A 16,198-nucleotide genomic window follows, 5' to 3' on the forward strand; every position below is an offset into this window, starting at 1 on the left:
TCCTCTCACTCCTACTTCATGGTTGGCCAGCTTGTTTTGATAAGAAATCCTGCCTGTGTTCCTTTTGTGACCCCATCCTGGACCTCAGTATGGTAAGGGTTTGGGCACTGTGTTCTGGCCTATTCTTAGCAATTCCTAACCAATAGATTGGCCAAGCCCCAAAACGTAATGCCAACCTCAGAGTTTCTAAATAGATGGATCAGGGTATGGCGAGGGTTTAATAGGGAAGACCTAGGAAGCATCTCTTGAAACTGTTCTTTTGCACAGCAGGCACATTGCTTCTCACCTGAATTATATTTTCTTGAAGTGGACTGGGGCCAGGGATTAACTCCAGCTCTGATGCTGGCTCCAGCGTCTCTTTCACCAATGCCTGCTGCCTTTTATTACTATCTCATGAACTGTCACCTATCAATGCTTGCACTGGAGCCAGGAAAAGTGACAAGTTAGAAGCCTGATAAGATTCTCTCACCATTTATCTGTGAGATGGCCATTTACATTGCTCCTAGGGAAGCAATGAGGAAGTCTTTCTAAGAAAATAAATCCAGCTTTCCTGCTTCGGGCCTCATGACCATTCTCAATTACTGACTTTTGAACTCAGTTTAGAATCACCCCTTTTTATTCCATATCCTCTATTCTTGTCTTGATTTAGAAAAATAGGAAACTCCAACCTTAGGAGAGTAATTTTAGATCCTATGCAAAATGCAAGAAAATGGATTCTATTTTTGTACCCAGATCTAACCCAGAGACAAGGAAAGTTTGTTTATAATCCAGATTTATAGAGATTTATAATGTTCAAAACTTAGAAATATTAAGTTTGAAAGTCTAAACTGTTAAAGTCGCTAAGGCACTAGTGCTTTGTATAATTTACCCACTACAGAAATGATTTGTTTCTATGGTGGGTAAGGAAAATGTAGTTTCAATAAATCGTTGGCAGTTCTTGCCAGGCACTCGGTTTTCGGAAGTCAGGAAAGGAAAGCAATAGCTTGGATACATTAAAGGAAGAAAGTATCACCACTCACCACTTCCATTGTCCCTTCATTTTTTTCCATGAATGGGCATTTTGGACTTGATATCAAATCCTATCTTCCACATTTTTCTCTGTATACTTGTTGAAGTTTTTTGTCCGTTAAAACTCAGATAAATCTGTTAAATGTTTTAGAATACAATAGAGTTCTAAATCCGGCTCACGGCAGCCTCAACCCCCACTATTTGCAGCCTCAACTCCCACTATTGAAACGAGGCATCACACCCATGAAAACATATGAAACAGAGCAGTGCATACAATTTCACAAGCTTCACGGTAATTCAAAACGTTTGTAAATTCCATTTTTCCCCAGCACGCTGCCAGTATTCACAACAAATTAAATTCTCATTCAGCTGATCTGCTAGGAAGCATAACAAACAAGAGTGGGCATGAACCAAAGTGTCTTCCTTTTATTACTTTTTCTTACCATTTATTTTGATGTTCTAAATGGAGCTGCCCTCTGCCTGTCCATAGCCATTATAACCCTACCTGATTCTAGGAGCAACTGTGGTCAAGGTCGTCACATCACAGTCTCCTCCCACAATAAACCATCTCTCTCATAATTCAGGCTGGCCCTGCAGTCACCACAGGGAACAGGTCCAACACCCTACTGGACCAGTAGAGGTGGCTTTTTCATACCTGTACAGTGGCCCTAGCATGTGAGTTTTGGTGGGACACCTACTGCCAAAATTATTTTGGATAGAGCCCCCTTTGTGAATAGATTCATCCACCTGCCTGTTTTGCAAAGAAACTACAGAAAGATAAATGTGACTTTGTACAAACCAATAAAGTGATATTTATATTTTCTTAAATAATGTGAGTGGTAAATTAACTATTTTTGAGCAATAACTGTCAGGCACTGTGATTAGTGTCTTGTAGACTTTGTCATTTCATCATCTCAACAATTCTGTGATAGAGGTAGTTATTCTTACCATTTTACAGAAACACATTCAAGACAGCCAAGTCCCCAAAGCCACAGAGCCACTAGTTGCAGGTTCTAGGATTTGAACCCACAACTGTCTGGCTCCAAAGGCTTGTGCTGTTACCTGTGTAGCCCCTTCCTAATCATGGTATTAAGACATTGATTTAAAGCATAATACAGCACCAACATTTACTACTATGAACCATGAACTTGCCTGGGCCATTAATGAAAAGACTTTAAAACTCTGCTTATAAAAACCAAGCAAAGATAGTATCACTAGGAATCACAATATTCATCTTAAGACTTCTAAGCCACAGACCTCACACTCGAAATAAAAGTATAAATCCCATCATAATGTTAACATTAACTTTATAAGGAACCAAAGTCTATGGATCGTATAAAGCAAATTAAGAATACCTAGTCAATCATTCAGGCATCTATTCTCAATAAATCTTACCACACACTACTGTGTATTTAGCATCTTCCAGAGATCTTTGGGATGTACAAGAGTATATATAGCACCTGTTCTGCAAGTGACCTAGTAGAAGAGATAAGACAAATACCCATGAAGAGTTAAGTAATGATAAGAGTCAGGAATGCCAGCTGAATGACACAAATAATAGATAGAATGAGCATACAACAGAGATAGAGCAATTATCTTGGACTCTTGTACTGGGAACACTCAGGAATAGATAGAGACAGAAGGCAGAGTGAAAATTATGATGCAGAGGTAGACCTGGGCAACGCATGTTTAGAAAAGCATGAGTTTAATGCTGGAATTGGGAATTGAAGTTGAGTGTTCATGTTGGAGATAGATGCATAGGGATAAGCTTAGAAATGTAGCCTGGAGCCAAACAATAAAGTCTTACCTGACACATACTGGGAAATGTAGAGAGTATACATAATCAATGCTGGAGGAAGGAAGGTTGAAGATGTTGCAGCAAAGAACTGATATAAACCAGTGTTTAAAGAAGATTGTTCTGGCAGCAACGTTCAGAATGTACTATAGATGTCAGAGAACAAAACCAGGAAGACAGTATGGAGACAACTGCAGGTAATTGAACATGAAGTGATGAAGTCCAGGGAAGGAAAGTGAAGAGAATGAACTGAAAGTATGGTTGTGATAATGCTCTGTGTTTATCAGGTCCCCTTTCATCCTCATCTACCTGGACACACATTCCCTAGTTAGCTCTGGACTATGAGCTATAAGAAAAAAGTAGGTACAAGCTCTTTAGGTCTCTTTCTTTTCCATGTCATAGGGAACTAAAAGCCACATTTAAGAGTAAAGAGCCACAAGATGGTATCAGAGTGTATTCCCCAAGTCACTGCATAAAGAGAGCTACCCTGGAGAGCTGATGGACAGGCAGCTGACTTTGCACGAGCAAAAACTAGACTTGTGTATGTTCAGCTATTAATGTTTCAGGGTCTGTTACTCAAACATAGCCTAATCTCTTCCTACTAATACAAAGATAACTGTGTCAGAATTTATAGCTGTGCTCAGGGACTTTGATGACCCTAGTCTTGGAAATAAAACTAAAAATAGACAGCAGCTAGAATTTGCCAGTGACTTAAAAAATGGCACTAACACATCACATTTAGAGAATACCTGCTAGGCAATGAAAGCAATGACACTTTTTTTCTCCATTTGTGTTTCATTAGATTAACTGTGGGTTTTTTAATCATAATATTAATTAAGTCTTTGACAAAATTCAGAATTTCTTTTGCTCATAGCAAATGGCAGCCGTTTGCATAATAGCAGTTTTCCTAAAATGCTAAATTGGAAGCTAAGTAGAACTACACGTAACCCTGAAGTTACAGCCTTACAACTCTTAGGAAGTTCTTTCAGTTTTCTAACTATATAATAATAGAATTAAAGTAGATAAGAAGGAAAATGCTATAAGACATTCATCTGCATGTGTCAGCACAGGGCTAGCCATGGAGAATGTTGAATTAAGCAAGCAGAGTTTCATCCTGCCACTCAGTTCACACTCTACGTCAGCTGTCAGACACTATCAGGCAGCATCCTGGGTGACCTACTGGCAGGTTTTTCCAAATCATTCTAATTGCCCAATTCCAGTACCCATGGATGTTTCTACTCTTGGAGTCTCTAAAAGGAAGGAAACAGGATGAAAACAACATAAGAAACAGTTTATATGAACTCAGTTCCAACATTACTCAAGATAATGCACTGGTGTTCACACACAAAGCCAAATAATCTGAGTTAAATGGTCTTCCAACATAGAAAATGCAGAACAAACAAGCAATTATATACAATCTATAAAGTCTATGAGTAATTGAGTGCAATTTATTTAGGCAAAAGCTAGCAGAGCTGTGTCCTCTGTCATGATGTAGCTGAATACCCTGTGTGCTGGATTATTCTTATCACAGTGGACAACCTCACAAAAATTCAGCCTACAAAGGCCTTGGCTTCAGTGATCAATTGAGGACTCACACCATATAACATGATTCTACTAGAAGCTAAGAGCACTTCATCTGTACCCAGAAACATATTCAAATAAATAATAACTTTAGATTTGTGGTGCTTGTCATCTAATGTGCTGTTGTCATTCTTGGGTGTGGGCCCTTGGGTATAGGCTTTACAATATTCTAGTAAGGTGGCTGCAATGACACTGATCAGCAACTCTCTTTTTCAAAAGAGAAGATGCTCACAAAGCCTCCAGCAGGATTAAAAGAGCAATCTGTGATAATGCAATAGAATAAAGCTAAATAACTCACATGGAAACTAAATTCATAATCTTGGAAACTAAATTCATGATACACTAGGACTGAGCTTTTCTTTAACTAATAGAGCTAATTCTGAGAACAATAACCAGGTAATGTACGATGACAAACTTCAAACTGCAAACTAAATTTTATACTATATCTTTATTTTAGACCAGGACCTAGCCTGAAATAGTTCAGAAAGCCTTAACAAATGACCTTCTCGAGTTGTGGAGGAGTGCCAAATACACATGCTGATTCTATGCTACATTAGGTCACTGGCATTTTCCAAGAGGACACCTACAGATTCTCTACATAGGACATGGACATGAAAATGCCCTATACATATCAAAATATTTAGCAGCAACATGCCACTTTGGATAGCATTTTAAATCAGGTTCTTAGGGGTCTTTGGTGGGGGATAACGAAAGGGTGGAGACTTCATTACACTAATCCTGATCAGGCAAACCCAAAATGTACCTCATGTGGTCATGGAAACTATTTGTTTTAATTCAAAATTAATTAAATTTGAGTTAGAGCAGAAAGGGAACAGTCCCATAGCTTTAATTGCAGACACTCAATACAACACAAAGACTGGCATCCCAGTGCTTTTGGCCTTGAATTTCGGCCATCAAAACCATTAGTCAATTCAGAGACAGAGCTTGAACACTTGACTGCCTACACTCAACCCCATCTGCTATGTGCACCATTGCCAATACACAGTCCAGTGTGCCAATGGCACCATGCATTGACGGTTCTTACAGAGCATGAAAGATGCTTACATACTTCCACCAAAGCAACATGGTATCATTTCTCCTACTGGAAGAATATTCTACTTAAAAGCAACACTGTGAATCTGTACTTGCTTATTCCTTTCTTATTGCTTCAAAAAGTAGAATATATAACAGCACAAAGGAGAGTTTGGGGTTTGAGCAAAGCAAGAATAATAAAATTAGAAGCTACAGAACAAATGAGTCAAATATATATTGAGAGAAGTGAAATAATTTATCAAGGGGAAAAAGATGAAAGCACAAAAGCATGGAAACATAGGATGTAAATAATTGTATTTAGACTATTTTAACTTTGGCCTAATTGCTTTCACAACTGTTATAGGAGATAAAATTATTAATCTAATAAGCAGTTCTTAACATATTAGGAATACCTAGGAGGTTTTTAAAAACCCCAGATGTGTGGGCACCATCTGGCCCCTAGATCAATTAAATCAGAATCTCTGGGGTGGGACCAGGCCTCAGGAATTTTTTAAGAGCTCCTGGAGATTGCAACGTACAGCCATGTTTTAGAACTACTGCCTTGAACAAAAGAATGAAGTATCAGTTGTAGAGACAATGTTGATTCACTGTACTGCAAGAAAGAAATAAGTATTCCTAAATATATGTATGAGAAAAGATGACTTACAAAGCTTGGAAAGTTTGCCTAAGGCCACCAGCTCATAGGTGGTACAGCGAGTGCTCAGATCCAGGACCTTACGTGGACTGACATTTTCACTAAGATGTACTGAAGCCTCAGGGCAGAGATCATGGAAGGACAGGCTGAGTGGGGGAAGAAAGCAAGTCTTTGGACTGAGGAGAGCTCTGATAAAAATGTCACTTCACATCCATCTGCCACAGTGATTCCTACCATTTAGAAAGTTATGCCAAGGTCACCAGAAGTCCCAGATATAATGCAAAGCCTACAGTAATAATTAAGTGTTATTGTTATTACAACTACAAATTATCACACACCTGTTGCACCTAAAATGCTGTCTTCAGTGCCTTACATGTATGACCTCTGCTCTGCATTACATCCTGCAAGGTAGATACCAAAATGCCCATATTATGGTTGATTAAAGTGAGTGTTATAAAAGTTAAATAATTTTCCCAAAGTCCTTAATTATTAAATGGCAGAGCTAGGATATAAAATGGCTGCCTGCTCTTTTTTCATTTTTATACTATGTTGCCCAAAGGAGTTAAATATTTTAACACAACTACTCCTAATTATTTTAGTTTAGTTAGCAGTTATATCATCAGCTGAGGTCAGAAGATGTGAGAGAGATGAATTGAAGGCAAGGGTGGAGTATGTAAGATATGGTGGTGTCTTAGTTCATTATGTGTTGCTAAAAAGGAGTATCTGAGGCTGAGTAATTTATTTTTTTAAAAAAAGTTTATTTGACTCATGATTCTGAAGGCTTGAAAGTTCAAGACTGGGCATCTGCATCTGGTGAAGGCCTCAGGTTGCTTCCACTTATGGCAGAAGGTGAAGGGGAGCTTGCATAGGCAGAAATCACATGGTGAAAGAGGAAGCATGAGAGAGGGGGAGGTGCCAGGCTCTTTTTAACAACTAGCTCTAATGGAAACTAATAGAGTGAGGAAGGGCATTAATCTATTCATGAGAGATCTGCCTCCATGATCCAAATACTTCCTATTAGGTCCCACCTCCAACACTAAGGATCAAATTTCATATGAAGTTTAAAGGGGAAAAAACACCGAAACCATAGCAGGTGGTTTTAAAATATGCACATCAATTATTTGATGCACCTCCCTTCAAGAGTGGAGCTTAATTTTCTTCCGTGTGTGTGTGAGCTGTATTTAGTCACTTGCTACCAATGAAGAGAATATGGAGGAATTGTATGATTTTCAAGCCTAGGTGATAAAAGGTATCACTCACTCTGGGAAAAGCCAGCTGGCCTATCAAAAGGATATTTCACAAACCCCATGGGGAGACCCATGTGACAAAGGACTGGGGCCTCCTGCCAACAACCATGTGAATGAGCCATCTTGGAAGCAGATCTTCCAGTCCCAGTCAACACTTCACATAAACACAGCCCCAGTCAATGTCTTGACAGCAACTTCCTGAGAGATCCTGACCCAGAACCAGAGCTAAGTTGCTTCAGAATTCCTATCTCACAGAAACTGTGAGATAATAAATATGTTATTTGAAGTTACTAAGTTTCAGTGCAATCTGTTACATTGCAATAGATAACCAATACAGAGGGGCAAGAAACAGAGGGAGGAAGATAACAAAAGGTCAAGATTATGTGATTCAATGATGCATTAGAGTTTGGGCAATCCTGAACACCCAGGGGATACCCGTGTGGTAGTAGGCAAGTCATAAGATATGAGAAGGGGTTGGGGTAAAGTAAGAGCAAGGAGGGTCATAAGTTATTTACAATAGCTCTTTTGCAAAGGAAAGAAATACTGATTTGAGGGTAAATTCATTTTCCCAGGTTATTACATAGCTTGACAGCACTGTATGTGATGTATCAAAGGGCACCCAAGAACCTGAAGCAATAATGCATCATCCAAAGTCAAGTAATTTACAATTTACTCACTGGCAAGATGAGACTACTGTATCAGAGAGAATCAAAAGACATCCCTCATCGTGTGGAAAGATAAGTCAGGAAAGTCAAAATCATTTGCAGCAAAGCTTGTTTCTGTAATAGTTGTGGATTCAGAAGTAGTCTTATTTGGACATATGATATTCAGCAGGACTTTTAAAGTCCTTTTGCTATTTTACATAGTTCAATAAGGTTTTTTGTGAGAGTATGATGTTATTAATATGGACTGTATTAATGTGAGGCTAAGAGTTATATGTAATATCCCTTTGCCTATTTATCTTACATCAAAATGGTATTTATATCTTAATGAGCAACCATATCCTCCTGCAGATATAGATCTTTGAGATTCCATTATTCGCTCTTCCTTATTTAGGGTTTCAGTTAGGGAATGTCCAGATTCAGAACTCAAGTCCCCACTGAATTCCATATACCATGCTCTAATGAGTCTGTTAGAGAAACACTGGGAAGATAATAGGATATACTACCTTTATTCTTACCAGTAAATCACCTCCCCAGGTAACTGTTCTTACAATAAAACTACCAGCTGGGTGGCAAGTCTCTAGACCAAGATAAGGTTGTATTTTAGCCCTCTTGTGCATTCAGTACATATCTTAAAAATCATAAGAAAGATGAAAAATAAAATAAACTCCTGCTGAATAAAGGATAATAGAAAGAAAAATAAGAAAATAATTTGAGAAAATTCTTTGTAACACACCTCTGGCATTGCAGTTAATGCTATAAAAGGCCTTTGTTTCTTTAAGAAAATGAATTTATCACACCAGTTACTGATAATCCAATCTCTGCCCAACTGGATAACTGCCCAACCAACTTTCTTCATTTGATAATTATTTGTAAAATATCCCCTTTCAAAAATGTATAGAAATGTCTATGTCAGGACTTCCCAAAATGGTTCCCTTTGTTGCAATATTTTCCTTACTGCCGCCATAACCTCATAGCCTCTAAGTCCTTTTGCCAAGAACCAAAGGAGAGAAGAGAAAGGGATAAAAATGGGTTTAAAAGTAGGATTAGAGTGGCAAATGAGAGAAAAATTAGTAAAATAAATAAATAGGAGTGCCATAAATTTTGGAGAATGCTCTGGAATCATTTTTCAATAACCCTGTGACTGGGGTCCTGAGCCCACTTATAAGCTCAACAGACCTGGTCTCTTATTGCGAGAAACCCATTTGTGACCTCAGGCAGGATAGACTAAAGAAGCTCTGGCTCCATGATCTGTGACTGAGCATGAAATCAACCTAATGGTCCTGTGGTTTTGTATTCAGGTATCTTCACTCTGTCTCCAATCCCAATGTCTGCCTTCATCACATCCCTGATACTGGGACCCTTATGTTGAACTGCATGCTTTAGACCCTCAGAAACAGGGTACTCCCTCATTCTGCCTACATGCTTACCTCCAAGGACTCATAAAGTTCTGCTTTTCACTGTTATCTGCTCATAGATTTTCCATCGACATGTTATGAATTCTACCTCCAGGACCATCTAATTCACTGTTCTGCCAACATCCTCAGCCAATCAATAGCCTTAACAAGTGCTAGTTGACAGGAGCTAGATTTTTCCAGAAAGGCTGGAATTCTGTCTCATGTCTAATCCCATTCCATACCTGCATCCCGTTTCCTGAATTCCAGTTCTTACCCCATTTCAGACTGGCCCATTTCATTGTTATTACGTCAGAACATGTCCTGAGATACACCATTTTCCTTACTCAGTGTGAAGCAACAGAATTAAATGCAAGGCTTACATTTCTCAGAATATAAATGGAGAAAAGCTTTTTTTTCTTCAGTCCATCAAACTCCAAATCAATCCTGAGGCCAATTTGTTTGTCTTTATTAGAAAAATGGTACTGTTTTAAAGGGAGAGATTTTGATTGACTGATTGATTTACCAGTCTCAAACTAATGTTGAGTTGTAAATAGCAATGGCATTTCTAAGAACTGTGCTGTATCTTCAAACATGAGGTGATGGATGTCTGTGGAGTTTCATCACACCAGGAGAGCTGTCACACCACTTGCTTCATTCTATATGCTCTACTGGTTTGCTAGTTAACAGTTATACAATATATATTTGCTCACTCTCCATGCAAACAGATAAAGACTAACAATTAGGAGCTCATTATTATTTGGGAAAAAATCCTTAGCAACTCAGCAATATACACTTTAAAACAAACTGGTATCCAAAAGATGAATGATGCTCTCACTCTTTCTCAGTAGTAATGCCCTCTTTCTTTGAGTATGTGATTCAGTTTCAAAATATCACTAGCCTACTAACTCTTTATGCTAAAAGAAAAAGTCTAGTATTAGAGAAGAAAAACAATGAAAAAATGAAGTTTCATGATTACTTTTGTTAAACTCTTACGTAATTATTTTCTTATCTGCAAAGCAAGAGTGAATGTCAGTTGCAGGAAAAAAAAAATGTGTCCAAAACTTTCTCCAACCTTAACAATTCATCAGGGCCAATGTACCCGAGAACTAGAGACCAACAGCCCAAACAGATAGGAGTGAGTAAAGTTATTACTATCATACTTGTCAGACTGAATCTTTTGTCTATAGCTTCTGTCATCCCCAAATCTTTGTAACTTCAACTCCCTGAATCCCTATGGGTTTAATCTGACTTACTTTTAGAACCATCCCTAACTAAGTCAGCTGTCATGCACAGAACCAGAGGAAAAGATCCTAGGAGGAAGGCCCAGGAAATGCAAATTCTCTGAGGTAGTGGAGTGCTTTGCAGATTTGAGGACAGGAAGGAGGTTACTCTCCCTGGAGGCTGGAGTTCAAGGTTACGTGAGATGTGTGCTAGGCAGAATAACAGCCCTCCAGAGATGCTCATGTCTGCAGGAATCTTTAAATTCATACCAAAAGGACTGTGCAGATGTGACTAATGGTATAGACACAAAGAGAGAAAATTACCCTGGGTTATATAGAGGGCCCATTTTGATCATGGGAGTTCTTAAAAGTGGAGACGCTTCCCAGGCTGTGGTCAGAGAAAGATGTGACTATAGAAGAGTGGTCAGAGAGGCAACAGCCTGAAGTGTATAAGATGGCTTATTGCTGGTTCTGAGCTGTAGTGGCCCATGTGCAAGGACTAGATAAAGGCCTCAAGAAGCTGAGAGTGGCCTGGATGTCACCCAGCAAGGAAATAAAGACATCAGTCCCACAACCACTTGGAACTGAATTCTGTAAACACTTTAAGAGTAAGGAAACAGATTCTCCCCTGGAACCTCCAGAAAGGAAGCCAGCCCTCCTGACACATTGATTCTAGCCTAGTGATGTCCATGCTGAACTTCTGACATACCGAACTATGAGAAAATAAATGTGTGTTGTTTTAAGCCACTAGGTTGTGGTAATTTGTTATAGCAACAAGATACACCTAGATGACTAAGCTATACAGGTACCAGATCATGCAGGCCTTTCAGGTCATGGTAGTTTTTCATTTTTTTTTTTTAAGCAATGGGGAAAAAATAACAAATATTAAGGAGGAAAATGATTTTCCTAAAAGATTACTGTGGAAAAGATGCTTCACAACCTCATAGAGAAATGCAAATTAAAACAAGATACCACTACACACCTATTAGAATGGTTAAAATCCAAAACACTATAACACCAAATGCTGGCAAGGATATGAAACAACAGGAACTCTCATTCATTGCTGCTGGGGATACAAAATGGTACAGCCACTTTGGAGAACAGTTTGACACTTTAACGAAATTATACATACTCTCACCATACAATCCAGCTACTGCGATCCTTGGTATTTGCCCCAAAGGAGTTGAAAACTTATGTCTACACTAAAACCTACACACGGATGTGTATAGCAACTTCATTTATACTTGCCAAAATCTGGAAGCAACCAAGCTGTCCTTCACTTAGCAAATAGATAAATAAACTGGGGTATATCCAGACAATGGAATATTATTCAGTGCTAAATGAAATGAGCTATCCAGCCATGAAAAGACATGGAAGAAACTTAAATGCATATTACTAAGTGAAAGAAGGCAACCTGAAAAGGCTTCATACTGTATGATTCCAACTATAACGTTCTTGGAAATACAAAATTATGAAGGCAGTAAAACTATAAATACATCCAGCAGATGCCAGAGCTTGGGTAGGAGAGAGGGATGAATAGGTGGGACACAGAAGATTCTTAGAGCAGTAACACTACTCGGTATGATACTGTAATGGTAGATACATGTCATTGTAAATTTGTCCAAACCCACAGAGTGTACAACACCAGGAGTTACTACTAATGTAAACTGTGGGCTCTGGGTGATATGTCAATATAGGTTCAGCAATTGTAACAAGTGTACCACTCTGGTAGGGATGTTGGCAATGGGGGAGGCTGTGCCTATGTGAGTGCAGTGTGTATGTGGTAAATCTATCTTCCATTCGATTTTGCTGTGAACTTATAATTAATCTAAAAAATAAAGTCTATTAAAAAAAGAAAAAAAGATGACCGTGGCTCCTAAGTGGATTGTATGTGTAGGGTAGCAGGTACTTGCAAGAATAAGAAACAGCAAGATTGGAGCTGAATTTTAGAGGCAGAACTATAAGATTTTATGATGCATAAGGTATGAAATAAGTGAACGAGAGGGAGAAATCAAAAAGGGCTTTTGTGTTTTTGGCTTGAGAAGAAGAAAAGCTGAGAGAGATGGGGAAGATCAGGGGAACCACAGACCTTTTTTTTTTTTTTTTTTGAGACAGAGTCTTGCTCTGTCCCCAAGGCTGGAGTGCAGTGGTGCAATATTGGCTCACTGCAGCCCCTGCCTCCGGGGTTCCAGCGATTCTCCTGCCTCAGCCTCCCAAGTAGTTGGGATTACAGGCTCACGCCACCACGCCCAGCTAATTTTTGTATTTTTAGTAGAAATGGGGTTTCACCATGTTGGCTAGGCTGGTCTTGAACTCCTGACCTCAAGTGATCCACCCGCCTTGGCTTCCCAAAGTGCTGGGATTACAGGCATGAGCCACCGCACCCGGCCGGAACCACAGATTTAAGTGATAATTTGGAAAGCAAAATTTCCATTTTGGACATGTAAGGTTTGAAACAACCTTTAGACATCTCAGTGGAGATGCAGAATAGATAGATAAATGAATAAATCTGGAGCTCAGGGTTGAAGGCTTGGCAGTTAATATAAACTTGAGAATCATCAACCTACAGGTGGTTTCAGGCTCATGGAACGGAATAATATTACCTAAGTAGAGAAGTATGCAAGTGAACGTAGGAAAAGAGGAGAGGCTCTGAGGCATTCAAAGATTTCAGAATCAAAAAAAAAAAAATAGTAGCAAAGAAGGAGGAGAACATGAAAACATTTCTTTTAAGTGCATGATGGCTAGGAGGGCAAGAAAGGAGAGTGGTTCAACAGAGAAAGTAGGCAATTGTATTGATACTGGTGAGAGATGGGGTAAGATTAAGGCAAAGCAGGACAGTAGATTTGGTAGCATGGAGATCTTCAACAAGAACAATTTGAAGGGTGCAATGGGAGTAAAAAGAGATTGAAGTGGGTTGAAGAGTGAATGGTGTATGAGGAATTAGCATTGATGGATACCGACAAAACATCAAAAAGGTTAGTATAGAAAGAACGGAGATGAGCAGTTGTGGTTTAAGGAAGGTCCAAGAGAAGGCTTTAGATTATTCTCTTTTTAAGAAGAAAGATTTTGAAAAATCTTGGTGAACTATTAGGAATGATTTAGTAGGGAGAGAGAGAATGGTGATGCAGGGACGATGCCACCACTGAAGGACTGAAGTAAAGCCCTTTGAAGGAGTCAAGGTGTGAAATTCAGAGCACAGAGAGAAGGAGCAGGGGCAGGATAAGAGCCATTTGTGTGCCCCACCCACCTCAATTCTAGAAGAGACCTCTGGCCAGTCCCCAGGCTCATCTCCAACCTAAGGTATAGTTCATATTAAAACTCCAACCCTTCCCCTCCCATCTTTTCCTCATGGACTTGTGAGTGGAAGTATTACCATATCTCCAATCCAAATCTTAGGACCAGATAAGAATAATTCTGGTAAGCTATTTACCCCACTGTAATCAGTATTTCTATTTGAGCTTTTATTTCAATTGTGCATCAAAGATGTTAATATAGAGACCATTATGTAGAAACAAATATATTTTACTTTATTTTTACATATTAAGGTGAATCATACAGCTTGGAAGACATTGAAAAGATGAAGGGAAATTGAAAGAAATGCAGGTTAGGCATTTCCGTAGAAATCAGTCTAAGTCAATTTAAGTTCATGATGAGGGTCTGATAGCTCTCATAAAGCAACTCTCACTATGGAAGGCCTCATTCAAAGAAAGTCAAACTTTTACACAAATTTCTAAAACAGAATTTTGAAGGATATTTTGATTATATCATTCATCATTTTTAATCACATTCTGAAAAACTTCAAACTTTGTCTTCACTGTAAGGATAATCAGTCAATTTGTTTTATCCTAAAAAAACTAGCCATTTCCCTTGTAGATGTCATAAGCTGCTTCTGTACCTTTTCCATGATTTCATTTTATTTTCTTGTATGTAGATTTCAGAGAAAGTTCTCACTTTCTGAAACAGTGAAAGCAAGAAAGAAAGAGAGGGAAAGATAAGTTGGAAACGAGAGAATGAGAGAGACTTTTTAAAACTACGGAATGTTTTACAAATGTAGAGTGTGATTGTATGTATATAAAGCTTAGCCTAAGTCACCACTCAAATAAAGAAGTTACCATTCCTGTACCATTCCTGTCTGGGCTAGAAATCTCTTAATGCCTATTTTCTGAAATTTAACAAATCAAGGAATCACAAGGCACCATAAGTTCAGATAAGGGAAAAAACACTAGACTGGATATCTAGAAGCCGCATTTTAGTCTGCCATTGCCAAACATGTAACCTTGTGCAAATCACTTTACCTGTCTTATTTATACTGATCTATGGTTTTGCCTATTGTATAATAATCACTAAATAAAAAACCAAAACAAAAATGTTAAAATTATTAAAATTTTAGACACTTATTCTGAAAACAGAAATAACCATAATTCCTTTACATCTTTTATTTAAAAGCTGAGAACCCCTATATAAGAAAGGAGAAGGAAAGCTTTAAGTACAATGGCAACTAAAATGGCGGCACAAACAAAACGAAATTGCCTCCAAAACACTGAACTTTTAATTACGGACGATGTCAAAATGCAATGTGTTCCTTTAGCTTCATTATTTTGAATCTGTTTCTTGTTTCCCAATAAACTGAATAAATAAACAGTGATTTTTAAAATTAATTATGTAGTGCAATTTCCCTCCCGGAAAACCAATATAGCTTAATTTTCATTAACTATATTGTAAATCGCATTACTCTTTTGGAAAACGTTCAAGGATGCTTTTATTTATAAACCAATAGATGAGAACTATAATGCATTTATAGTAAGTCTGGACACTTTTACAGGGGGCTTCCTATTTGAAATAACCAAGAAGTAGAATTCAACAATGATATTTTTCCTTCTAAACTTTTTAAAGTGAAAAAATCCAATATATTCTTGAAGTCAGAAATAGTGGCATCCAGGGTTAAACTTCAGCATTCATGATGCTAATTAGCTAGCCATGACTGTATGTATAATGAAGATATTAAGCTTTCTCTAAGAACACTGCAACTTGAAATTCAAATAACTAACGTTATGGAATAATTGTGAAATATGATCAACTGATTTAAACACTACGAAAATGTAGCACAATTCCCTTTCAAGAGGAAGAACAAGTATATTCTATAGACAAATGCCAAAATCAGAATTAGCACATAGTCAAGAAAGAAGGTGACTAAGAGTACACTGGTAACCATTTTGAATAAATCACTTTAAAACTAGTCACAGTGTGAATGAGCATAATTATATGGCTCTCAACTCTGCTCATGTTTTTCTCTTTCACTTGCAAATCCCCTCAACTGTCATGTTTAGTTGTCTCTTTGAGATGTTACTATACATGGTAACAGATGAATCTGCTCTTCTGTGAGTTTTATATTTATAAATGATCTTAGCTCACGAAGCCATGGCATTAAATTTACATTAGAAAAGGTTTGACCCTTGGGTCCGTGCATGCAGTTCTCTGTTGCAGAAAAGCATTACAAAGCTCTCTATAGGGAGATCTGAAAAGACATCAAAAATATTTTGAAATGCAGAAAGCAGCCAAGATGCCCTATACCTTTTCATTGCTTGCACTGATTAACCGCTT

At 38.2% G+C, this 16,198-nt stretch overlaps 1 protein-coding gene across 7 annotated transcripts in view; it reads right to left on the reverse strand.

Annotated features, from left to right (window-relative positions):
* CTNNA3 (catenin alpha 3) overlaps positions 1 to 16,198 on the reverse strand; it is a 1,851,072-nt gene that overhangs the window by 964,581 nt on the left and 870,293 nt on the right. The gene's annotated exons all lie outside the window — the stretch shown is intronic.

The sequence above is a fragment of the Homo sapiens genome, chromosome 10 (genome assembly GCF_000001405.40).
Source record: "Homo sapiens chromosome 10, GRCh38.p14 Primary Assembly".
Taxonomy (NCBI): Eukaryota; Metazoa; Chordata; class Mammalia; order Primates; family Hominidae; genus Homo; species Homo sapiens.